Raw genomic sequence first — 26,199 nt, 5'->3', positions numbered from 1 at the left:
CCAAAGCCGGAAGAATTCAGTTTACCTTCCTAACTAGATTGTATGTGTAGGTTGATTGCCAAGACGACTCAGAGAACCCACGGAATCATTTTAAGAAAGGTGCTAGGAAAGGGCCCCAGGAGAACACACCTAATGCTTCCATGTGAATGGAAAGTGGGAAGAACCAACTTTGACTCATGCAGTTAAAGATCTTCTTTTGTGATCACAATTCCCTTTGTTCTTTTGTTTTTCTTGGGTGGTTTTTGAACTGCAAGTGCAGAGCTCACTCATCTGTGCAAATCCTCTGGTATGGATTTTTAAATTAATTTTTCCCTTCATCTCCGATCTTTTCTCTCATTCTCCTACACACACATCATAGATAAATACTTTAATGATGGCTTACGTTTTTGAGTATGTATCTCTGAATAACAAACAATATTGTTTTATATATTTATGTGTTTAAAATTTGTATAAATTTGGCCGGGCACAGTGGCTCATGCCTGTAATCCCAGCACTTTGGGAGGCTGAGGCAGGTGGATCATGAGGTCAGGAGTTCAAGACCAGCCTGACAAACATGGTGAAACCCCATCTCTACTTAAAAATACAAAAATTAGCCAGGCGTGGTGGCGCATGCCTATAATCCCAGCTACTCAGGAGGCTGAGGCAGGAGAAATCGCTTGAACCCAGGAGGCAGAGGTTGCAGTGAGTAGAGACCACACCACTGCACTCCAGCCTGGGTGACAGAGTGAGACTCTGTCTCAAAAAAAAAAAGAAGAGAAAAAAAGAAAATTTGTATAAATTTGTAGCGTATGTATCATTCTGCTTCTTATTTTTTCCACTCAGCACGTTTTGGTTGTTGCCTGGATTTTAGTTCATTGCTTCTGGTTCCTGTATAATGCTCTATAGAATGCATTTGTTGTATTTTGTTTGTCCATCCTCCTAACAATAGACATTCAGCTTGTCCCCAGCTCTCTGCTGCCATAGCAGTGCTGCCATGACCATCCTTACACAGCTTCACTTACGTGGCTAAGTGACACTTTTTCTGAGGTTTATATCCCAAGGGTGGTATTGCTTTTCTGAGGTTTATATTCCAGGGGTGGTACTGAGTACAAACAGACTTTAAGTTCACCAAGCACCAGCCAACCACGACACCCATCTGCATTTGCATTCCTACTTGCAGGGTGGGTAGGTTCCTAACACACCACTGGCAATATTTGACTTTGTTAATCTTTGCCAACCTGGTGCATATAACGTGCTATCTAATTATTAAAGTTCTATTTACATTTCTCCTATTAGTGAGTTTGAATACTTTTCATATACGACTTAGCCACTTGGGATTCACCTTGTATGAATAGCCTGTTAGTATTCCTTCTTATTTTTCTTTTAGAGTTTCCTGTACCTTTCCTATTGATAATCAGGGTTTTCTTATATATTATAAATATTAATGATATAAATATTTTCTTACATCTATTGCCCGCTTATTAATTTTGTCTATGGTGTTCTTCGTGGCTTAGAAATTATTAATTTGGTTCACTCAAATCCATTCATTTTCACCTTATGATTTATGCTTTGGGAGTCTGGTTAGAAAGTCTTTTCCAGCTAAATATCAAAAATATTCTCTAAAATTTCCCTCCAAGACCTACTTTAACTCTACTCCATATATTTTATCATGAAGCATTATCACTGTGATAACTTCTTAGTATTTCATAACTCAGTTTATAAATTACTCTTTAGTCCAAGGATTATTCAAATGATGTGTGTTTTGGTTTGCAGGTATGAGAGTTTTCAAGATATCTTGGTGTTACTGATTTGTAATTGTATTGCATTGTTATATATATCCTGAAGCTATTTTGTTGGGGTGAGAGGAGAGTTTAGCAGCCTCATATCTTCTTAACCTATCACTTTATTGGTTAGTTGACCTTGTCCTTTTTTGTCCCCTACATCTATTCTGTCTGATACTATATCCTAGCTCTCTTTTGGTAAATATTTTCCTACAATACCTTTTAAAAAATATTTATTTGGGTTTAAATTTCCTTTTCTCCTGCCAACTTTTTGTTCTTTTCTTTTTCCTTACTTGCTTTCTTTTAGATTAATCAAATATTTCTATCATTCCATTTTATACCCATTAATTTGCAAGTTATACATTTTTTTCTTTTGTTTTTTATTTTCTTTCTTCTTTTCTTTTTTGTATACAGGATCTCACTCTGTTGCCCAGACTGGAGTACAGTGGTGGGGTCATGGTTCACAGCAGCTTCAACCTCCCTGGGCTCAAGCAATCCTCTCATCTCAGCCTCCTGAGTAGCTTGGACTACAGGTGTGTGCCACCACACCCAGCTAACTTTTTGTATTTTTTGTAGAGATGAAATTTCGCTATGTTGCCCAGCCTGGTCTTGAACTCCTGGGCTCAAGCAGTCCACCCACCTTGGCCTCCCAAAATGCTGGGATTACAGGCATGAGCCACCATGCCTGGCCTTGTTATCTTCTTTTTATTCTAGTAGTTACTGTGGAGTTTGTCACTTATATCCCTGATTTATTAGAATCTAATTGTAAATTAATCATTTAACCACTTCCTGAACAATGCAAGGACCTTTGAGCGTGCCAGCACTCTTTATCCTCTCTGCTTGGTGCTGTGTTGTCCTGTATTTAAATCACATGTATCTTATACTACAGACAATATTTGTAATACGTACAACTGACAAAGGGCTTATATCTGAAGTCTACAAAGAACCCTTATATATCAGTTAAACAAACACATAACTGGATAGAAAGATGGGCAGGAGGTCAGGCACGGTGGCTCATGCCTGTAATCCCAGCACTTTGGGAGGCCGAGGCGGGTGGATCACCCAAGGTCAGAAGTTCAAGACCAGCCTAGCTAACATGGCGAGACCCTGTCTCTACTAAAAATACAAAAATTAGCTGGGCCTGATGGTGGGCACCTGTAATCCCAGCTACTCGGGAGGCTGAGGCAGGAGAATTGCTTGAACCCGAGAGGCAGAGGTTGCTGTGAGCCAAGATCGCGCCATTGCACTCCAGCCTGGGCAACAAGAGAGAAACTCCATCTCAAAAAAAAAAAAAAAAAAAAGGAGAAAAGAAAGATGGGCAGGAAACTTTTCCCAAAAAAAGAACACCCGCATAGCAAATAAACCTATCAAAAGGTGTTCCACCTTATCAGTTATCAGAAAATGAAAACTAGAATCATAAGATATGGCTGGGTGTGGTGGCTCACACCTGTAATCCCAGCGCTTTGAGAGGCTGAGGTGGAAGAATAGCTTGAGCCCTGGAGCTCAAGACCAGCCTAGGCAAGATGGGGAGACCCCCATCTCTACAAAAATATTTTTTAATTTATCCAAGTGTGGTGGTGCTCACCTATAGTCCTAGCTACTCAGGAGACTGAGGTGGGAGGATCTCTTTTTTTTTTTTTTTTTTTGAGATGCAGTCTCACTCTGTCACCCAGGCTGGAGTGCAATGGCGCGATCTCGGCTCACTGCAAGTTCTACCTTCCCGGGTTCACGCCATTCTCCTGCCTCAGCTCCCGAGTAGTGGGGACTACAGGCACCCACCACCACGCCTGGCTAATTTTTTGTATTTTTTAGTAGAGACGGTGTTTCACCGTGTTAGCCAGGATGGTCTCGATCTCTTGACCTTGTGATGTGCCCACCTCGGCCTCCCAAAGTGCTGGGATTACAGGCGTGAGCCACCGCACCCGGCCGGGAGGATCTCTTGAGCCCAGGAATTTGAGTTTGCAGTGAGCTGTGCAACACCACTGCACTCCAGCCTGGATGACAAAGCAAAACTCTGTCTCTTTAAATAAATAAATAAATAAGATACTCTTACATTCCCACTAGAATGGCTAAAAAAATTTTAAGACTACTAATAGCAAACATTTGGAAGGATGTGATTCTCTGATATGCTCTCTCATATACCATTGTTTCAAATATATTTGGTGTAACTACTTTAGAAAACTATTTGGCATTGTCTCCTAAATTTAAACATTTGCATACCTTTTGACCCAGCAGTATCACTACTAAATTATACACCCAATAGAAATGCATGCATGTTTTCACCAAAAGACATAGCCAAGAATATTCAAAGCTACATTATTTGTAATAGCCAAGAGTTGGAAACAGCCTAAATGTTCACCAAAAGTAAAACAGAAAAAATGTGATGTTAATATAAATAAAATGATTAAAACTACTCCTATGCTTAACAGCATGAATGGCTCTCACAATGTGTAGTGAAAGAAGCCAGATGCAAAAGAATCATACTGTACAATTCCATTTATATAACTGGAGGAGGAAGAAGGTTGTTAGTGACTGGGAAGGCTTTACCAGTCCAGAATCCCTTCCTGCCAGAAATTAGGTATTCTGTCTTATAAGATAGGAAATACACAATTCAGAGCTCCAAGATATAATATTTGTTGCATCTGTTGAGACCTAATATATCAGTATTTAACATTGAGCAGTGTTGCTATAAAAAAGAGTAAATGATCCTCTGGCACCTCCTCTGAGTGCTTTCCAAATTAGCAACACCAAGCCTTGCCAGCAGATGGCGGGCCCTGTACACATCTAGGCTGAATAGCCAACAAGAATTTAAGTTAATATTCCAGACTATTCTACAAAGTTACTTTTGTGTTTAGCCAAGTTGTTTCAAACTTTGCTACTTCTTTTCATCCTAATTCTTCACCCTGATATAATCACCACAATGTGCATGTTTAAACTGTATAATTTTCATTCAATTACTTTGCTTCATTTCCTTATTGAAATGTATTTTGTCCAAATTTATCTGCTTTAGAAATTAACAAGGTGTTTTGGATTTATGCACTTCTGTAGGTAAGCTTGAACCATGAGGGCCTTTTCTTTTGCCAGGTCTTGGAAGTGGAAGGCCAAGATAATTTCTCAGGCAGCGCTCATTGGATTTATGTCCCCCCCTTTTTTTTTTTTTTTTTTTTTTGAGATAGGGTCTTACTCTGTTGCTCTGGCTGGAGTACAGTTTCACAGTGACAGCTCACGGCAGCCTTGACCTCCTGGGCTCAAGCAGTCCTCCCCTCTCAGCCTCTTGACTAGCTGGGACTACAGGCACGTGCCACTGCACCCAGCTAATTTTATTTTTTTGTAGAGACAGGGTCTTACTACTATATTGCCCAGGCTGGGCTCAAGCGATCCTCCTGTCTCGGCCTCCCAAAGTGTTAGAATTACAGGCATGAACCACTGCACTCAGTCCTATGTCCCTCTTAAAAGGATATCTTTTAGTGTATCATCTTCCTGCCCTGCCTGTCCTTTTATGGTGCCCATCGCAACAGCCCAGTGCCTTTCTCCCTGGGCTGACAGATAAGTGCCGCGGGGTGACTCATGCTCCATGCCTCCCATCCCTGACTATGGCCTGAAACTTCTCTCCTTCTTCCTCTCCTCTGTTCCGGTGCTACTTCGTACAGTAATGGTTTGTTAACTTTGGAGAGTGAATCCAAATCATGTATTCTTATGTGCACAGTTATATTTCTTTAAATCTGGTAAAGAAAGTCACTTACAAAAAGGGGCAAATTTATCCCCAGTGTTAAGAATTATTTTCTATCCTGGTTATTGATAGATGCCCAGAGAGAAATAGTTGTCTTTGTATATACAGGCATATGCCATTGCACATGCATGCACACACACACACACACACACACACACACACATCCCTCTTTAAATTATCTTTCTATGCAGCATGATGATGACCTATTGAGACTATTGCTCCAGAACATGTGATTTTCCCCCAGCTCTCTCTGACTGCTTGACATGTCCTTGAAGTCTCCCACAGCATGTCCAGCGAACACTTTGCCTGGCATGACTGTGCTGAACTAACTCAGGAATGAGTAAACACTTTTATTTCCTCAGAGCATCAACAAGACGCCTCCCAAGTATTTCTAAGCAGTGTGCCATGGTGTCATTAACAATGTAGGCTCTGGGCCGGCATGATGGCTCATGCCTGTAATCCCAACACTGGGAGGCTGAGATGGGAGGATCGCTTGAGGCCCGGAGTTCAAGACCAGCCTGGTCAACATGGTGAATCCCCATCTCTATTAAAAACAAAAAAATGTAGTCTTTGGAGTCAGAAGCCCTGGGTTCAAATCAGTGTTTGTTCAAACTTCCCAGCTGTAGAACTTGGGTAGATCTTGTGCTTCCTGGGAGCCTCACTCTCCTCTCCTGTTGAAGTGAAAATAATAAGACCTCCAGGGGTTGCTGTGAAGATTAAAAAGATATTACTTTAAAGCATCTAGGTGCATGGGAGACCCTCAGAAGCAAGAAAGCAAGAAAGAAAAGGGCAATATAATTATCATTATGATCTAATTGAACATTTTCCTTTCTGCTGTTTCATCCCAGAGGTGATTTTAAATCAGGTACTTATATCACATATTAAGGTTTTGTACTTCAAGACTGCCCTTGGTGTGCAATTTTTTTCTGCATTTTTTCCCTGTGCCTTGGGAAGGCTACATTTTGTTTTCTTTGCTCTCATGAATCATCTAAGCTAAAATCAGACAATTGTATATACTTACTTCTTCTTTTTTTTTGTTTGTTTGTTTTTTGTCTTTGAGACTCTCTGTCACCCAGGCTGGAGTGCAGTGGCGTGATCTTGACTCACTGCAACATCCACCTCCCAGGTTCAAGCGATTCTCCTGCCTCAGCCTCCCAAGTAGCTGGGATTACACATGTGTGCCACCACGCCCAGCTAATTTTTGTATTTTTAGTAGAGACAGTGTTTCACCATGTTGACCAGGCTGGTCTCAAACTCCTGACCTCAAGTGATCCACCTGTTTTGGCCTCCCAAAGTGCTGGGATTACAGGCATGAGCCACTGCACCCAACCTGTATATTCTTATTTCCTTAAGCTTGATTTTGTTTCTTTGTCTTGCTCTCTCTTGATTCATTGAAGTTGTGAGGTTTGGAAAGTTATTCTAACACAAGTTTTCCAAAAGGAAAGGGGATGGGGAAGATTTCTCCCTTAACTCGTACTTACTAGGAAGGAGGAGAAAATAATGGAGAAGTGATGTGGCAAGGGGAACAGAATATGTATCTACCTGCCATCACCTCATTGAGATGATGGGGTTCTACTTAGTTCCATAAGCTGCTCCAGAAATGCTTCCCAGTGGAATTTTTGATACTTCAATAATAACCTTTGCTCTTAGATCCCATAGTCCTCCCAAAATTGGTCCAGTCAGAAATTTCTACATCTAACTTTTGCTTTCTGGACTCAGCATTTAAAAAAATTTTTAGTTCTTACCATCACCTGAGGTTCCTTGATGTCTAAGTTGCATTTTCTCTGCTTCTCTCTTTTGGACATAAAGGCTCTTACAGATGCTCACATGTTCCAAGTCCTGCTTCTCCCTTGCCTGCTCCCTGAGAACATCCTGCTCTTCTCCAGCAGACATGTTTCTCCTGTCAGCTGCTCCTGTGGGACACTATGTGCCTAGAATACTTTTTGCTTACTTAACAAAGAAGGAAATTGCTTTTTTTCTCTGGGACTCTTCCTAATCCTATATTTCTGTGGTTGAAGATATGCTCTTAACTTACACAAGTCTCATTTTTGTTTTTATTATTATTATTTTCAATGTGGGGAAGCCAAAGAAAAACCACATGGCACAGGTTACTCTCATATACTTTATCTGCTTTCTATTTCTTGAATCTCCTAAAGCTTTAATGTTTTAGAGCACTGCATTTCTGTCTTTCCTTTTCTGACATTATACCCTTATAATGTACCTTTTCCTAAATATATGAGAATAATGATTTAAATAATAGAATCATGTTTTAAAATGACATGTTATTAGTATTAATATGTAACATAAATATATAATCATATATCTCTAAATAAATAACACAACATATAATAATATATATCAAATAATAGGCAGGGCACAGTGACTTACACCTGTAATCCCAGAACTTTGGGAGGCCGAAGCAGGCGGACCATTTGAGCCCAGGAGTTCGAGACAGCTTGGGCAACATGGCAAAACCCTGTCTCAAATTAATACAACTAATACATAATTACAAATACAAAAAATTAGCCAGGCGTTGTAGCATACACCTGTAGTCCCAGCTATTCCAGAGGCTGAGGTAGGAGGACTGCTTGAGACCGGGAGGCAGAGGTTGCAGTGAGCAAAGATCATGCCACTGGACTCCAACCTGGGTGACAGAGTGAGACCCCTTCTCAAAAATATAATAATAATGATTTTTTTAAAACCACACTAGCTACCAATTATTGACCACCTTCTGTGTCAGGCTTTTGCTAAGTGCTTTACAGATGTCATCTCCTTTCATTCTTAGTCCTCTCTGTGTAGTGGATACTGTTAGTATTCCCATGTTCAAATGTAGCATCTAAAGCTGAGAGAAGTGAGGTCACTTCCAGGGTCACACAGGCAGGAAGCGATAAAGCTGGAAAGTGGCCCAGCAGAGCCCTGCTTATTCAACGCTAGTGTCCAAGCTCCTGACCATGGCACACATTACATTCACTGATGTAGACTGGAAACCCCACAATGCATTCAACAGAGCAAAGCCTTTACCTGTATGTATCAGGTGATAAAAAGATACCCAGATGTAATTCTTTTCTCATGTTGGCTATGGAAAATCCCATTTGTTATCTTTTGGGATTGGTTTCTCATCAGATTCTGATCAGTGATATTCACACAAAGCCTTTCCTTTATACTGGTGCTCAATATTCTTGCCAAATTCCAGAGTTTTTAAAAGGAAACTCTGTTGCCTTAGTAATACCAGAAATTGCATTTGTTTATTGCTTGTTAAAACGAGTCTCCATCCCTATGAGATCTGAAACTTGTCTGCAATGAGATAGTGTCTCCTCTTGTGCTCTGTAGAATTACTGCGTATAAACTTTCATTCAATAAAATATGCCATGGCTTAAGTTGTGCACCTGCCAAATTAACATACTGCCACATTCTGTTATTCAAAATTTTCTGTCTTTTCATCTGTCTAGTGTATTTCTTAAGCTACCAAGTACATTGTGGATACACTAGATAATAAATCCTCAAATCATCCCTGGCAGGTAGCCAGAAATGGAAAGGAGAAAATATTGCTCTCAAACATTACACATAAGAAAATGGAAACACACAAGATTACCCGAAATTGACTGATGCTTTAAGTAAGTTGTAGATGGATGTAAGACTATAATTTAGTTATTTCTTGATGTAGTACTCTCAATTCCTTTTTTATTAAATATAAAACTAAAGTAATTTTATTTTCTATTTTGCCTTTTCTTTTATGTGAATAGTGTACTCACAATGAGCTTCAGAAGGCTCATTGTGGGTTGCATTAGCTTGATAGCCTCCATTTCTGGCTGTGTTAGTGCCAGGACCATGAAATAGCCTGCAACAGCAACCTGAGGAGGTGAGGGGTAGGATGTGCTTCATTCTTTGTGCAATTGCGTGTTGTATTCATCTTTTTAATAAAATATTTTAGACACATATATATGTAGTATTATGTAAATTCTGTAGTGTAAAGAATAGTATACACACTACTAAGCTTACAAAATCTATTTCTGATAAATAGAAGCTTGTTATGCATTCTTCCCAATACCATTTTATTCCCATACATTATAGGCAATTATTATGCTGAAATTTAGTGTTTTTCATTCCTCTGAATGTTTTTGTACCTTTACTGTGTATATGTATAGCATATATATATGTGTGTATATATATATAAAATTTGTCATATTTTAAAACTTTATATGTATGTTTCCTTCTGTAACTTCCTTTTTTCCCATCTGTATTTTTGAGATATATCTCTACCAATTGATATAATCCAGCTCTAGTCTTTTCATTTTAGACCTCCATATGGTGTGTAATTGTCTGACTTTCCTCTAATTTAATTGTCTATTTTGATGAGGGTGAACATGTGAATTGTTTCCAATTTTTTACTACTGTAAACACTACTTTCATGATCATGCTTATATAAGTCTCTTTGGGCACATATGCAGGATTATCTCTGAGGTATATTCCCAGGAGTGGAATTGTTTACTTGACAAGCATCTGCATCTTCAATTTTACTGGATTTACCAAACGCTTTCTAACAATTTATGTGTCCACCAGCAGGGTGTGTAAATTCTTGTTATTCAGCGTCCTCAGGCTTCTTATAGTTCTCAATTATATGGATGCAAAATTATATCTTATGGTTTATTTATCTATTTATTTAATTTAAGACAGAGTCTCCCTCTGTCACCCAGGGTGGAGTGCAGTGGCATGATCTCAGCTCACTGCATCCTCCATCTCCCGGGTTCAAGCGATTCTCATGCTTCACCCTCCTGAGTAGTTGGGATTACAGGCACATGCCACCAGGCCCAGCTAATTTTTGTATTTTTAGTAGAGACGGGGTTTCACCGTGGCCAGGCTGGTCTTGAACTCCTGACCTCAAGTGATCCACCTGCCTCGGCCTCCCCAAAGTGCTGGGATTACAGGCATGAGCTACCGCACCTGGCCCTTATGGTTTCTTTAATTGAATTTTTCTGATAGGGAAGTTAAATATCTTTTTATATGTTTGCTAGACATTTGGAATTCTTGTTCTGTGAATTATCTATTCACATGTTTTGCTTATTTGCTATTGAGCTATTTGCATTTTTCTTAAAAATTGGTAGATAGTCTTCATATTTCTGGAAACAAGTTATTTGCTGTTTACATATATTGTATGTACTTCAGATGTGTAGTTTGCCTTGATTTTTGATGCACAAGAGTTTTTATTTTTAATATGATCAATTTTACCTATCTTTTCTGTTCTTATTTGTGTATATATTAGAAATCCTTCCCTACTCAAAGACACAGGGTTACTTTTCCATATGTTTTCTCTCAAACATATCAAAGTTTTTATTTTTAAATTTAGGACTCCTAAACAGCCATTGGGGCAATGAAGAAATTAAGAAGGACATTAAAAATTTTCTTGAAACAAATGAAAATGGAAACATAACATACCAAAACATATATAATACAGCAAAAGCAGTACTAAGAGGGAAGTTTATAGCAATAAATGCTTACCTCCAAAAAGTAGAAAACCTTCAAATAAACAGCCTAACAATGTGTCATAAGGAACTAGAAAATCAAGAGCAAACTAAACCTCAAATTCGGATAAAAAAATAATAAAAATCCAAGCACAAATAAATAAAATTGAGACTAAAAAAATTCAAAAGATGAATATAACAAAAAGTTTGTTTTTTGAAAAGATAAACGAAATCAACAAACCTTTACTAGACTAAGAAAAACAGAGAGAAGACCCAAATGAGTAAAATCAGAGACAAAAAAGGAGACAATACAACTGCTACCACAGAAATTCAAAGGATCATTAGAGACTATTATGAGCAACTATATGTAATATGTAATAAACTGGAAAATCTAGAATAAATGGATAAGTTCCTAGACACATAAAACCTGTTACAGTTGAACTATGAAGAAATCAGAAACCTGAATAAACCAATAAGTAACAAGATAGAAGCATTGATAGAATGTCTTCCATCAAAGAAAAGCCCAAGATCTGATGGCTTCAGTACTAAATTCTACCACACATTTTAAGAAGAACTAATATCAATCCTACATAAACTGTTTCAGAAAATTGAGGAGGAAGCAGTATATCCAAACTCATTCTATGAGGTCCGCGTTGTCTCAATACCAAAACCAGACAAAGACACATCAAAAAAGAAAACTATGGGCCAATATCTCTGATGAATATGGATACAAAATCCTCAAACCCAATTCAACTACACATTAAAAAGATCATTCATCTTGATCAAGTGGAATTCATCCCAGGGATGCAAGGATGGTTCAACATACACAAATCCATAAATATGATACCTCACATCAACAAAATGAAAGACAAAAACCATATGATCATTTCAATAGATGCTGAAAAGGCATTTGATACAATTCAACATCCCTTCATGATAAAAACTTAACAAGGACTTAAAGGAACTTACTTAACTTACTAAAGGAACATACCACAATGTAATAAAAGCCATATATGACAAACCCACAGCTAGTATCATACAGAACAGTGAAAAACTGAAAGCCTTTCCTCTAAGATCTGGGACAAGACAGGCTTGCCTACTTTTACCATTTTTATTCAACATAGTACAGAAAGCTTTAGCCCAAGAAGTTAGGCAAGAAAAAATAAATAAATGACATCTAAATTAGAAGGGAAGAATTCAAATTATCCTTGTTTGTAGATGATATGATCTTATATTCAGAAAAACCTATAGATTCTACCAAAAAGCTATGAGAACTGATCAACAAATTCAGTAAAGTTGCAGGATACAAAATCAACATACAAAAATCAGTAGCATTTCTGTATGCCAACAGCTAGCAATCTGGAAAAAAAAAAACAAGAAAGTAATGCCATTTACAATAGCTACAAAAAAAAACCTAGCAATAAATAAGATAAAATAGTTAAGAATAAACTTAACCAAAGAAGTGAAAGATCTCTACAATGAAAACTATAAAACATTGATGACAGAAAATGAAGAGGACATGCAAAAAGATTTCATGTTCATGGATTGGAAGTGCCAATATTGTTGAAATGTGCCTACGACCCAAAGCAACCTACAGATTTAATGCATTCTCAAAATGCCAATTACATTCTTCATTGAAATAGAAAAAAAAAATCCTAAAGTTTATGTGGAACCACGAAAGTCCCAAAAGAGTCAAAGAAATCCTGACCAAAAAGACCAAAGCTGGAGGCATCACATTACCTGACTTCATACTATACTACAGATCTATAGTCACCAAAACAGCATGATACTGGCATAAAAATAGACACATAGACCAATGGAACAGAATAGAAACCCCGGAAATAAATCCATGCATTTACAGTCAACTCATTTTTTACAAAGGTGCCAAGAACATACACTGGGAGAAAGATAGTGTCTTCAACAAGTGGTGCTGGGAAAACTGGATATCCATATTCATAAGAATGAAACTAGACCCCTAGTTCTCGCTATATGCAAAAATCGAATTAAAATTCATTAAAGACTTAAATCTGGCCAGGCAGTGGGGCACATGCCTGTAGTCCCAGCACTTTGGGAGGCCAAGGCAGGAAGATTGCTTGAGCACAGGAGTTCAAGACCAGTCTGGGCAACATGGTGAAACTCTATCTTTACAAACAAACAAAATTAGCCAGGTGTGTGGTGGTGTGCACCTATAGTCCCAGCTACTCTGGGGCCTAAGGTGGGAGAATCATTTGAGCCCAGGAGGTTGAGGCTGCAGTGAGCTATGATCACACCACTGCACTCCAGCCTGGGCCACAGAACAAGACCTGTCTAAAAAAAAAAAAAAAAAAAAAAACCTTAAATCTAAGACTGAAACTCTGAAACTACTGGAAGAAAATATTGAGAAAACACTCCAGGAAATCGGTCTGGGCAAAGATTTCTTAAGGAAGACCTCAAAAACGTAGGCAACCAAAGCAAAACTGGACAAATGGGATCACATCAAGCTAAAAGGCCTTCTGCACAGCAAAGGAAACAATTAACAAAGTGAAGAAACAATCCACAGAATGTGTGAAAATATTTGCAAACTACCCATCTGTCGAGGGATTAATAACCAGAATAAATAAGGAGTTCAAACAACTGAATAGAAAAAGACAAACTGATTTTAAAACGAGCAGAAGATCTGAATAGACATTTCTCAAAAGAAGACATGCAAATGACCAACAAGTATATGAAAAAATACTCAACATCACTGATGATCACAGAAATGCAAATCAAAACTACAATGAGATATCGCACCCCGATTAAAATGCCTTCTATCAAAAAGGCAGTAATGGATGCTGGTGAGGATGTGGAGAAAGGGGGACACTCATACACTGTTGGTGGGAATGCAAGTTAGTACAGCCACTATGGAGAATAGTGTGGAAGTTCCTCAGAAAACTAATAATAAAACTACCATATGATCCAGCCATCTCATTACTCAGTATATACCCCCCAAAAAGGAAATCAGTATATCAAAAGAAATATCTGCACTCTCATGTTTATTGCAGCACTATTCACAATGGCCAACCTAGGACTCAACATAAGTGTCAATCAGTGGATGAATGGATAAAGAAAATGTGGTAGATATACATAATGGAATATTAGCCATTAAAAAAGGATGAAATCCTGTCAATTGCAGCAAAATGGATGGAGCTGGAGGGCATTATGTTAAGTGAAATAAGCCAGGCACAGAAAATATCACATTTTCAGTCAAATGTAGGAGCTAAAAAGATTTAAAAAAAAAAGAAAGAAAAAAAAGAAAAATTGAACTCATGGAGATAGAGAGCAGAATGATGGTTACTACAGGCTTTGAAGGGGAGTAGGGAGTGGGAGATGAAGAGGGGAAAACTATTGGGTATAAAAATACAGGTGAATAATGGGAATAAGACCTAATGTTTGGTAATACAATAGGTTGACTATAGTTAACAATATTTTTTTGTATATTTTTAAATAATTAAAGAATGGAACTGGCATGTTCCTAACACAAAGAAATGATAAATGCTTGAGGTGATGGGTATGCTATAACCCTGATTCGATCATTAACTTTGTGTGCTTATATCAAAATTTTACATGCACCCCATACATATATACAATTATTATGTATCCATAATAATTTAAAATTTTTTTAAAAAAATTTGTCCTCTAATCCACTTGGAGCTTTGGTGTACATGGTACCTCCTTTTATATATCTTTTGTTTTTATTTATGCGTTCTTACTTTTGGTGATGAGTATGTATTCTTATAATACATTATTCTGTTTTTTTAAAGTTCAATTGGATAAGAAAATGCCCACCTCATTTGCACAATAGTTCCAATCAGTTTCTCTGATTTTGCCTATTATTTGGACTTTCCAAACTCTTATGTGGTTGGTGTTGGGGTGGAGCTCAGATCACAATTGAGCCCATTTCAACATGGGAACAAACTGAGGCTGTTGCATATGGTGTGCAGGTTGGGAGGAGAAAGAGTAAAAGATATGATTATGTGTAGACATTTAATACTAATCTGTGTGATGTGCTTCTGTCTGCAAAGCACTTTCACGGACATCTTATTCAATTCTCACAACAACCAGTGTGTTCAGATGACGGAACCAAGGTTCAAGACATTTTGTTTTTGTCGAAGCTTTGTCAACAAGGCTGCTTGGACTACAGTTTGGGTTTTCTACTGCTGCTTACTTACAACTGATTCTCCTGCCTCTCATTTTCTGTTATTTTCCATAACATTTTCTCTGGGAGTCAGGTATTATTTGAAGGATGACTTTTGAGACCTGAAAAGGTGACCTGGTGTTAACTTGGGATGATATGCTGTGCTTTTGGCTGAGATAGCTAGTAGGTGGCTACAAGTTTTCCGTGGTCTTCACCTATTAACAAACCCCCAAACACTTTTCTTTAGTGGCTTATCTCAGGAAAGAAGGAATTTTTTATATATCAATGAATGCATGCCTTGTTATTGTTTTCTTTTTTGCTCATTTATGAGCTTGATTACTAAACTTTAAATACTGCTTTCTTTAAAAGCAGTTGCCCAGATGAAATTATCTTGGTGTTTGTACTTCCTTCATTTCTCTTCTGTGACTTTTACGGGCAGTCTGGGAAACAAAGGATCCATTCTTTACTTCAATGGCACACTGCATCTTTTATGAACATGACGAGGAAAAAGATGAATATTTTTTTCCTTCTCTCAAATATCCCTGGCATTGTCTGAGTTCTCTAGGCTAAATTAGGTGGAAAAAAATCTGAAATCATTTTAGAAGTATGTAACTTTCTCTAGATTCTAGACCAGAGGTCAGCAAACTTTTTCCCTAAAAGCCCAGATAATAAGTATTTCAGATGTTGTAGGCCATATGGTTTCTGTGGCAACCAATGAACTCTTGTCATATTTCAAAAGCAGCCATGGATGATATGTAAACGAATGGGCATGGCATTGTGCCAATAAAACTTTATTTACAAAAACAGCAGATTTGGCCCCCACACCATAGTTTGCTGACCCCCATTTTTAGTTATTTAAGCTTTGTCTACCACGGAATCTAAGTCTTTGGCTAAATGATTTCTTACCAACCATATGTTTCTGAGACTTTCTATCACCAAAGGTTCTAATGGGTTTTCTCTTCAAATATAAAGTATGATATTTACAAAACTAAGGATTACTCCCGACATTCTAAGCTCCTTCAGCATCAGAAAGGAAGCCCACAGAAAGGAAGACCGGTATTACTGGGTCGCCTATTAATCTTTTTCCTTCCCAGATTAGAGTTTCTACAAGCTGTAGCCCTCCTTAGTCCCTGAAGTCTTCCTGAGTTTTTAAACCTCTTCACAATTATAGAAGGTATCCAGATTAATAAACTGTTCAATCAGCATTTTATTCCACTGTGGCCATCTGGACCACAGATCCGAAAAGTATCTTTACTTCTATCAGTTAATTCCTCTGGAGAGCAAAAATAGGTGTGAAAAATACCCAGTGGTTGAGGTGAAAATAATACCTATTTTTTGTAGTCTTTTAGCTTTCTCTTGGGCAGTTTGGGAATCACAAGGCCTTTTGGTATTAAAAGTTCTGGAGTGGAGGGCAACATAGGAGGGATTATAAATTTTGCACATAAAATTTTTCCATGAAAGAAAAGGTTCCTAATAGTCTTAACAAATATGCTGGAGAAGATTATTTTTAAATATGTGCTGTGTTTGCTGAAAAATATGTAAGGATACATTTTTTATATGAGAGATTCTTATTCTAAGAAGGTATAGAAATATTTTCGCACTGCCACCTTTACTTATAATTTCTAAATTAGCATTTTTATGATATAAAAGTAACACATTTTCATAGAAGTTTGGGAAATTTAGAAAAGCACAAACATGAAATGTAAAATTACAGTCTAACAGCTTAGAGATAAGTATTGCTAACATAGCAATGGCTTTTGCCATCTTTCTGTGCATATGTGTACATGCAAATTAGATATACAGTTTTCACATGCCTGAGATGATATACAGAATATTTTGTAGCCTGCCTTTTCACTGAAGTATATAGAATGGGTAAACTTCTGTGTCAATAAATATGGATCAGCACTAATTTTCATGGCTACGTGGCATTCCACAGTATAGATGTACTTACTGTAACCTGCTTGCACAGTCTCCTGTTGGTGCATTTTAAGTGCTTTGGACTTTTCCACCATTATAGAGAATGCTAAGGTAAATGTTCTATATATATATCTTCTTGCCCTGCCAGAGTATCACTTCAAGATAAATTCCTAGAATTGGAATTCGCAAAATTGTATGTGTGTATGTGCGTGTGTGTGTACATATATGTGTATGATTTGATATAGAAAAGTTTATGCCCAAACTATATTCTCCTCAACAGTTGATGAGAGTGCTTCACATCCTTCCCAATACTGGGAAATTTCTAAAATTTCTCAACAGATCAGTTATTAGCATCTCAGCATCCTTTCCTTGATGGTTGCTGTCATTGTTTTGTAAAGTATTTAACAGTTTTTAAACCAATACCTACCCATATAGCACTTACTGTGTATTAGAGGTTATTCTAGGTGTTTTATGAATATCAATTAATTTAATCTTCTTAATAACCCAATGAAGTGTGGGCACTGTTATCCTTAACTCACAAATGAGGAAACTGAGTGACTGGAAGATCGTACATCTAGTCAGTGGTGAAGCCAGGACTTGAACCTTCCTGGTGATTCCAGAACCCATCTTCTTAACCACCATGCCCTGCTGGCTCTTGGAGGAAATGCTTAGTTAGCAAGGAAACGAACCTGAACACCAGGGATCAAAGAGTCACATCCCAACTACCAGCTCACCTATATTTTCAGTATTTTCTATTTTAATTATTAAATAAAATAATTCCTTTGATTTTTTTAGGGTGTATCAAGGTCAGAAGAAGTCAAAAGAAGCTTTGTCCCACTATCAAGCAGCTTTGGAATATGTTGAGATCAGTAAAGGTGAAACAAGTCGTGAGTGTGTACCCATATTGAGAGAATTAGCAGGTGTAGAGCAAGCCCTGGGACTCCACGATGTATCCATCAACCACTTCCTCCAGGTAAGCTACAAGGTCCTGGCTACCAAAGCTGTTCTAGGCCCAATGCTTTTCATAGACACAAGTGGCACAGCAGCTCTGAAAATGCCTGGCTTTGTCATTTGCTCTAGATAAGGACAACAGTTGGCCTAGAGTAGATGCTCAACAAAGGTGTTCTTATCAGGTGGTCACGTGGGCAAGTGCTGGTACTTGTCCCCTGTTAGTAGTTGCACAAACCACAAACAGCCTGAGATGCTCTAAAGGGGGTTGCTTTATCCTTTAATATCTATTTAGAGCGTATGTTACCCAACTGATAAGGACTCTTTTTTTCTACATTCTAAAGTCTTCACCTGAAGCCACCTAGAGTTATGTCTGTTAGCTGCTAGTCTACTTTATAAGATTCCTCAGTGAGTGTGTTGTGTCCATCAGAGTTCTCCAGAGAAACAGAACCAATAGGATACGTACACACACACACACACACACAAACACACACACTTTGGTTTTTTTGTTTTAGATTTTTTTTTTTTTTTTTTTTTTTGGAGAGACAGGGTTTCATCATGTTGCCCAGGCTGGTTTCAAACTCCTGGGTTCACGTGATCCTCCTGCCTCAGCCTCCCAAACTGCTGGGATTACAGGCATGAGCCACCAGGTCCGGCCTCTCTTAAGGAACTGACCCATGCAATTAAGGGGCTGTTAAGTCTGGAATCCACAGGGGAAACTCAGACAGGATTTCTATGTTGCAGTCTTGAAGCAGAGTTTCTTCTAGAAGCCTCAGTTTTTCACTCTAGGTCTTCAACTGATTTGATGAGGGCCACCGATATTATCCAGGGTCATCTCCTTTAAAATCAGTTGATTGTGAATATTAATCACATCTACAAAACACCGTGTATTCACTGCAACACCTAGACTAGCGTTTGACCAGACAACCTGGCCCCATAGCCTAGCCGAGTTCACATGTAAAATTAACCATAATAGTGAGTTTTATGTCTTTATATTGTATCATGCCAAAGGCACTTTTAAGAAAGTTTTTCTGATAATTTTTTCCTGTAAAAGTTGTAAGATACAGACCAATCCATTCTTGTTATTTGAAGTGAGATACAGTGACAAGGTCCTGAGAGTACTTCATTAATATTTCTTATTTTAATTTGTCTGACAATTTATACTCCTACTCACAGTTTGTTAGAGTGCCCCTTTTTCTCACTTTATCTGGATTGTCTCTTTTAATCATTATTACCACCCTGTGACACATGATTATTTCCCATTTGTAGATAAGGAAGCCAAGAATTAGAGAGGTTGAGTGATATGCCCAGGAGTACATACCCAATAAATGGCATGCTCACATTCAAAACCAATACTTAAGAAAGATTGTTCTGGATGATTTGTAGAGAATGGATTGGGGAGGTTGTGCCAACCATAGAACTAGACCACTTAGGAAGCTATTGAGGTAGCCAAAGCTGAGAATGATGGTAGCTTGAACTAGGATGAAGATAGTGGAGATGAAGAGAAGTAGATGGATATAGGAAAGATTTAGGAGGCAGAATTGATAGGACATGGAGATTGATTGGATGTGGGGGAAAGAAGGAAGGGAAGAGTTATAGATGACTCCCAGGTTTCTGGCCTGGACTGCTGAGTAGATATTTGTGCCATTTCTACCAGGGAACTGGTGTGTGACTGGGTGATGGAGAGATGGCAAGCTGTGTTTTAGGTGATGAGCCTGAGATGCCTGTGAGGCGTACAAGTGGAAATGACAATAGGCAGTTAGATAATTGGGGCTGGTGCTCAAAATATAGGTCAGAAAGTTATCCACTTACACACAGTGATTGCCCTGGGAGAGGACGAGATCACCTAGGGAGAGTTGATGGAGAGAGAAAAGAACTGATGACAGATTCTTGAGGAATTTCAGTATTCATGGCTGAAGTAAAGAAGGATTACCTAGCAAATGAAACAGAGAAAGACTGCCAGGAAAACAAGAGGAAAAGGGAAAATGAAAGTAGTGTCCTCTGTCCCTTTCTTTTTTCTTTTTTCTTTTTTTTTTTTGTTTGAGCGGAGTCTTGCTCTGTTGCCCAGGCTGGAGTGCAGTATGATCTGGGCTCACTGCAACCTCCACCTCCTGGGTTCAAGCAATTCTCTTGCCTCAGCCTCCCGAGTAGCTGGGATTACAGGCGCCCGCCACCATGCCTGGCTAATTTTTGTATTTTTAGTAGAGATGATGTTTTACCATGTTGGCCAGGCTGGTCTCGAACTCCTGACCTCAAGTGATCTGCCCACCTTGGACTCCCAAAGTGCTGGGATTACAGACGTGAGCTACTGCGCCTGGCCTCCCTCCCTTTTTTGATACCTTTCACTGTTTTGGAGGACATAGAATTCTAGAGAGGATAAATAAGTTTGTAAAGAGCTTAGCACAGTGCCTGATACATAGTGCTAAATATGGATGTTTTTAATTTTCTCTTTCCTTTCCTTTTATGTTATTTTTCTTTTCTTTTTCTTTCATTGATGACTTTGTTGAGGTGAATACTGGGGTGATGATAAGAACAGAAACCAGGCCGGGCGTGGTGGCTCACACCTGTAATCCCAGCACTTTGGGAGGCCAAGGAGGGTGGATCACAAGGTCAGGAGATCAAGACCATCCTGGCTAACATGGTGAAACCCCATCTCTACTAACAATACAAAAAATTAGCCGGGCATGGTGGCGGGCGCCTGTAGTCCCAGCTACTCGGGAGGCTGAGGCAGGAGAATGGCGTGAGCCTGGGAGGCGGAGCTTGCAGTGAGCTGAGATCGCGCCACTGCATTCCAGCCTGGGCGTTGGAGCGTGACTCCGTCTCAAAAAAAAAAAAAAAAGAACAGAAACCACATTATATAGCAGGTGAGATATGAGGGAGCAAAAACAGTAAGTGTAGTTGGCAGTTACAAAAGGTACTGAGATGCTTTTGGGGGAAGACAAGCCTAGGCAAGAGGGCAGAGCACATGGTAAGGTCTGAAGGTTAAACGCTTGACACATTCAGGAAGCTATAAGAAGCTCCCTCTGCTTGGGCAGTGGGAATGGCAAAGGCAGTAGATGGGTATCTTTTAGGTAGGTGTTGAAAGTCATCTTAAGGAATTTGAGCTTCCTCCTAAGGGCAGATGAAGGTTTTCAGGCAGGGAGATTGGCATCATCAGATTATCATTCTGGAGGGACCACTCTGTGGTATGGAGAATGGACTGGATGGTGGTGAGATAAGCAGGGGGATAACTCAGAGATGATGACTGCAGCAGTTCCGGTTGGGGGTGAGACAGCCCATACTCAGGTGGTGCTGGTGAAAATGGAGAAGCATGGACAGATCTGAGAGATATGTGTGGAGTAGACATGACAGGCCTGGGGGTTGTGCACATCTCCAGGAAGAGTCCAGCTTTACCCCAGGTTTCTGGCCTAGGTCGCTGTGTGGCTCACGGCAACATTTACTTAGCATAGGCACACTGGCGGGTTTACAACTTTTGTTAGTATCAATAACTGTAAATATTCTTATACAAAAACCTTTTGTAGTTTCTTGAATTATTTCCAGGGGTAAATGTCCAGAAATTAAACTAGTAGGAGGAAGTTCATATGGATTCATATTAACATTCTGCCACAGAATTGTTTTTGATGTACCTCGCCACCAGCAGTTTTTTCTTTGTTTGTTCTTAAATGAAGCAGTTTTGTACAAACCATGCCAGCTTTTTACATTATTTTACTCTCATTTTACAGAATAGAGTCTCAAATTTACTTTAATTTTTTATGTTAACCCATATCTCTCAAACTTTTTTTTTTTTTTTTTGAGACAGAGTCTCGCTGTGTCGCCCAGGCTGGAGTGCAGTGGTGCGATCTTGGCTCACTGCAGCCTTCGCCTCCTGGGTTCAAGGGATTCTCGTGCCTCAGCCTCCCGAGTAGCTGGGATTACAGGCGTGTGCCACCATGCCCGGCTATTTTGTATTTTTAGTAGAGACAGGGTTTCACCATGTTGGCCAGGCTGGTCTTGAACTCCTGAACTCAAGAGATCCCCCTGCCTCAGCCTCCCAACAAACTTTTTAATAGGCTTTTCTTTTCTTTTTTTTTTTTTTTAGCAGTTTTAGGTTCACAGCAAAATTGAGTGGCATGTACAAAGATATAGCCCCTGCCCCCCACCATGCATAGCCTCCCTCACCAGAGTCATACATTTGTTATAATTGATGAGCCTACATTGACACATCATTATCACCTAAAGTCCATAGTTGACATTCAGGTTCACTCTTGGCATTGTACATTCTGTGGGTTTGCACAAACTTATAACATCATGTATTTACCATTATAATATCACGCAGAGTGGCTTCACTGCCCTAAAAATCCTCCATGCTCTGCCTATTCATCTCTCCTTCCCCCTAAACTCTGGCAACCACTAGTTTTGTAAGAAACCACCAAACTGCCTTCCAAAATGGCTATACCATTTACATTCCCACCAGCAATGAACGAGAGTTTCTGTCACTCCATATCCTTCATATCCATCAAGTATCCAAGCCAGTACTTGATGTTTTCAGCATTCTGGATTTAGGGCAGTCTAATAGGTGTGTAGTGGTATCTCATGGTTCTTTTAAATTGTATTTCCCTGGTGATATATGATATGGGGCATCTTTCCATGGGCTTGTCATCTGTGTATCTTCTTTGGTGAGGTGTCAAAGTTACTGGCCCATTTTTAAAATCAATTTGTTTATTTTCTTATTGTTGAGTTTTTAAGAGGTCTTTGCATATTTTGGATAACAGTCCTTAATTCAATATGTCTTTTGTAAGATTTTCTCCCAGTCTGCGGCTTTTCTTTTAATTCTCTTGACAATGTCTTTTGCAGAGCAGAAATTTTTAATTTTAATGAAATCCAGCTTATCATTTCTGTCATTCATGGATTGTGCCTTTGGTGATATATCTAAAAAGTCATCACCAAGTCCAAGGTCATCTAGATTTTCTCCTGTGTCATGTTCTAGGAGTTTTATAGTTTTGCAGTGTTGTTTTGTTTTGTTTTGGTTTTGAGATGGAGTTTTGCTCTTGTTGCCCAGGCCAGAGTGCAATGGTACAATCTCGTCTCACCAACCTCTGCCTCCCAGATTCAAGCAATTGTCCTGCCTTAGCCTCCCTAGTAGCTGGGATTACAGGCATGTGCCACCATGCCCGGCTCATTTTGTATTTTTAGTAGAGACGGGGTTTCTCCATGTTGGTCAGGCTGGTCTTGACCTCCCGACCTCAGGTGATCTGCCTACCTGTGCCTCCCAAAGTGCTGGGATTATAGGTGTGAGCCACTGCGCTCAGCTAGTTTTTATTTTACATTTAGGTCTATAACACATTTTTAGTCAATTTTTGTGAAGGGTATAAGGTCTGTGTCTGAAATCTTTTTTTTTTTTTTTTTTTTTTTGCACGTGATGTCCAATTTTTCCAGCACGGTTTGTTGAAAAAACTGTCTTTTCTTCATTGTATTGCCTTTGCTCCTTTGCCAAAGATCAGTGGACTGTATTTATGTGGGCCTATTTCTGGGCTCTCTATTCTGTTCCATGATCTCTTTGTCTCTTCTTTTGCCACTGCCACACTGTCTTAATTACTGTAGCTTTATTGTAAGTCTTCAAGTTGGGTAGTATCAGTCCTCCAATTTTGTTCTTTTCCTTCCATATTTCATTGGCTATTCTGGATCTTTTGCCTCTCCATACAAACTTTAGAATCAGTTTGTCAATATCCACAAAATAACTTCCTGAGATTTTTATTAGGATTACATTGAATCTGGATATCAAGTTGGGAAGAATTCACATCTTGACAACATTGAGTCTTCCTATCCAATTTCTAAAAGTTGTTCTCTAAATTTTTCATGACTAAATCCAGATCTATCCTCAACGTCTCAGCTATGAGTTCCTAAAGTTCAAAACTTTAGTAAAAGTTTCAAACATTAAAACTTTTTTTTTTTTTTGAGATAGAGTCTTGCTCTTGCCACCCAGGCTGGAGTGCAGTGGCACAATCTCAGCTCACTGCAACCTCCACCTCCCAGGTTCAAGTAATTCTCCTGCATCAGCCTCCCGAGTAGCTGGGATTACAGGCACCCACAACCACATCCAACTAATTTTTGTATCTTTGAGTAGAGATGGGGTTTCACTATGTTAGCCAGGCTGGTCTTGAACTCTTGACCTCAAGTGATATGACTGCCTTAGCCTCCCAAAGTTCTGGGATTATAGGTGTGAGCCACCGTGCCCAGTACAAACTTTAAAACTTTCAAAAGTTCAAAAAAAAAGGTCTCGCTACCAGTTTCTTAAGTTCATGGAAAGACATCAGTGATTGTATTAGTCCATTGTCACGCTGCTGATAAAGACATACCCAAGACTGGGCAACTTACAAAAGAAAGAGGTTTAATTGGACTGACAGTTCCATATGGCTGGGGAAGTCTCACAATCATGGCAGAAGGCAAGGAGGAGCAAGTCATGTCATATGTGGATGGCAGCAGGCAAACAGATTGGTCAGGGAAACTCCCCCTTATGATCCTGTTAGATCTCATGAGACTTACTCACTATCACAAGAACAGCATGGGAAAGACCTACCCCCATGATTCAGTTATCTCCCACCAGATCCCTCCCACAACATGTGGGAATTATGGGAACTACAAGATGAGATTTGGGTGGGGTCACAGAGCCAAACCATATCATTCTGCCCCCGGCCTCTCCAAAATCTAATATCTTCACATTTCAAAACCAATCATGCCTTCCCAACAGTCCTCCAAAGTCTCACCTCATTTCAGCATTAACTCAGAAGTCCACGGTCCAAAGTCTTATCAGAGACAAGGCAAGTCCTGTCTGCCTATGAGCCTGTAAAGTCAAAAAGCAAGTGGTTTCTAGATACAAAGTGGGTACAGGTATTAGGTAAGTGCAGCCATTCCAAATGGGAGAAATTGGCCAAAACAAAGGGGCTACAAACCCTATGCAAGTCTGAAATCCAACAGGGCAGTCAAATCTTAAGGCTCCAAAATGATCTCCTGTGACTCCATGTCTCACATCCAGGTCATGCTGATGCAAGAAGTAGGTTCCCATAGTCTTGGGCAGCTCCGCCCCTGTGGCTTTGCAGGGTACAGCCTCCCTCCCAGCTGCCTTCACACATTGACGATGAGTGTCTGCAGCTTTTCCAGGCACACGGTGCAAACTGTCAATGGATCTACTATTCTGGGGTCTGGAGGACGGTGGCCCTCTTCTCACAGCTCCACTAGGCAGTGTCCCAGTAGGGACCCTGTGTGGTGGCTCCCACCCCACATTTCCCTTCTGTACTGCCCTAGCAGAAGTTCTTCATGAGGACCCCACCCCTACAGTAAACTTCTGCTTGGGCATCCAGGCATTTCCATACATCTTGTGAAATCTAGGCAGAGGTTCCCAAACTTCAATTCATGATTTCTGTGCATTCACAGGCTCAACACCATGAGGAAGCTGCCAAGTCTTCAGGCTTGCACCCTCTGAAGCCACAGCCCAAGCTCTATGATGGCCCCTTTCAGCCAAGGCTGGAGCAGCTGGGACACAGGGCATCAAGTTCCTAGGCTGCACACAGCATGGGGACCCTGGGCCCAGCCCGTGAAACCACTTTTTCCTCCTAAGCCTCCAGGCCTGTGATGGGAGGGACTGTGCAAAGGTCTCTGACATGCCCTGGAGACATTTTCCCCATTGTCTTGGTGATGAAAATTCACTCCTCATTACCTGCAGCTGGCTTGAATTTCTCCTCAGAAAATGGGATTTTCTTTTCTATTGCATTGTCAGGCTGCAAATTTTCCAAACATTTTTGCTGTCTTTGCCTTTTGAAACTGAATGCCTTTAATAGCACCCAAGTCACATCTTGAATGCTTTGCTGCTTAGAAATTTCTTCCACCAGATACCCTAAATCATCTCTCTCAAGTTCAAAGTTCCACAAATCTCTAGGACAGGGGCAAAATGCTGCCAGTCTCTTTGCTAAAACGTAACAAGAATCACCTTTGCTCCAATTCCCAACAAGTTCCTCATCTCCATCTGAGACCACCTCAGCCTGGACTGTATTGTCCATATCACTATCAGGCTTTTGGTCAAAGCCATTCAACAAGTATCTAGGAAGTTCCAAACTTTCCCACATTTTCCTGTCTTCTGAGCCCTCCAAACTGTTCCAACCTCTGCCTGTTACCCAGTTCCAAAGTCACTTCCACATTTTTGGGTATCTTTTCAGCAGCACCCCTCTCTGCTGTTTTGCTGTATTAGTCTGTTTT

At 39.6% G+C, this 26,199-nt stretch overlaps 1 protein-coding gene across 22 annotated transcripts in view, besides 2 other annotated features; it reads left to right on the top strand.

Moving 5' to 3' along the window:
* Positions 1–26,199, top strand: part of TTC23 (tetratricopeptide repeat domain 23) — a 114,903-nt gene that overhangs the window by 33,312 nt on the left and 55,392 nt on the right. For all 22 annotated transcript variants that reach the window (NR_109947.3, XR_007064487.1, NM_001288616.3 and 19 more), the window contains one exon: positions 17,818–17,995. Coding sequence is in view for 20 of the 22 variants with exons in the window: in NM_001288616.3 (NP_001275545.1) it covers positions 17,818–17,995 (178 nt within the window). In the remaining 2 variants the exon portion in view is untranslated. The remainder of the gene's footprint in view (positions 1–17,817; positions 17,996–26,199) is intronic.
* Positions 3,144–3,644: an enhancer, noted in NCBI's record as "H3K4me1 hESC enhancer chr15:99754475-99754975 (GRCh37/hg19 assembly coordinates)". NCBI's record gives its function as "activates a minimal SCP1, AML or CMV promoter by ChIP-STARR-seq in naive H9 embryonic stem cells {active_cell/tissue: H9 hESC(naive)}" and the evidence as "EXISTENCE:reporter gene assay evidence [ECO:0000049][PMID:30033119]".
* Positions 5,724–5,924: a silencer, noted in NCBI's record as "peak2445 fragment used in MPRA reporter construct". NCBI's record gives its function as "represses an SCP1 promoter by STARR-seq MPRAs in K562 erythroleukemia cells {active_cell/tissue: K562}" and the evidence as "EXISTENCE:reporter gene assay evidence [ECO:0000049][PMID:32103011]".

Source organism: Homo sapiens, chromosome 15 (assembly GCF_000001405.40).
Source record: "Homo sapiens chromosome 15, GRCh38.p14 Primary Assembly".
Classification (NCBI taxonomy): domain Eukaryota; kingdom Metazoa; phylum Chordata; class Mammalia; order Primates; family Hominidae; genus Homo; species Homo sapiens.
This window is presented reverse-complemented; position numbering and strand designations above follow the sequence as displayed.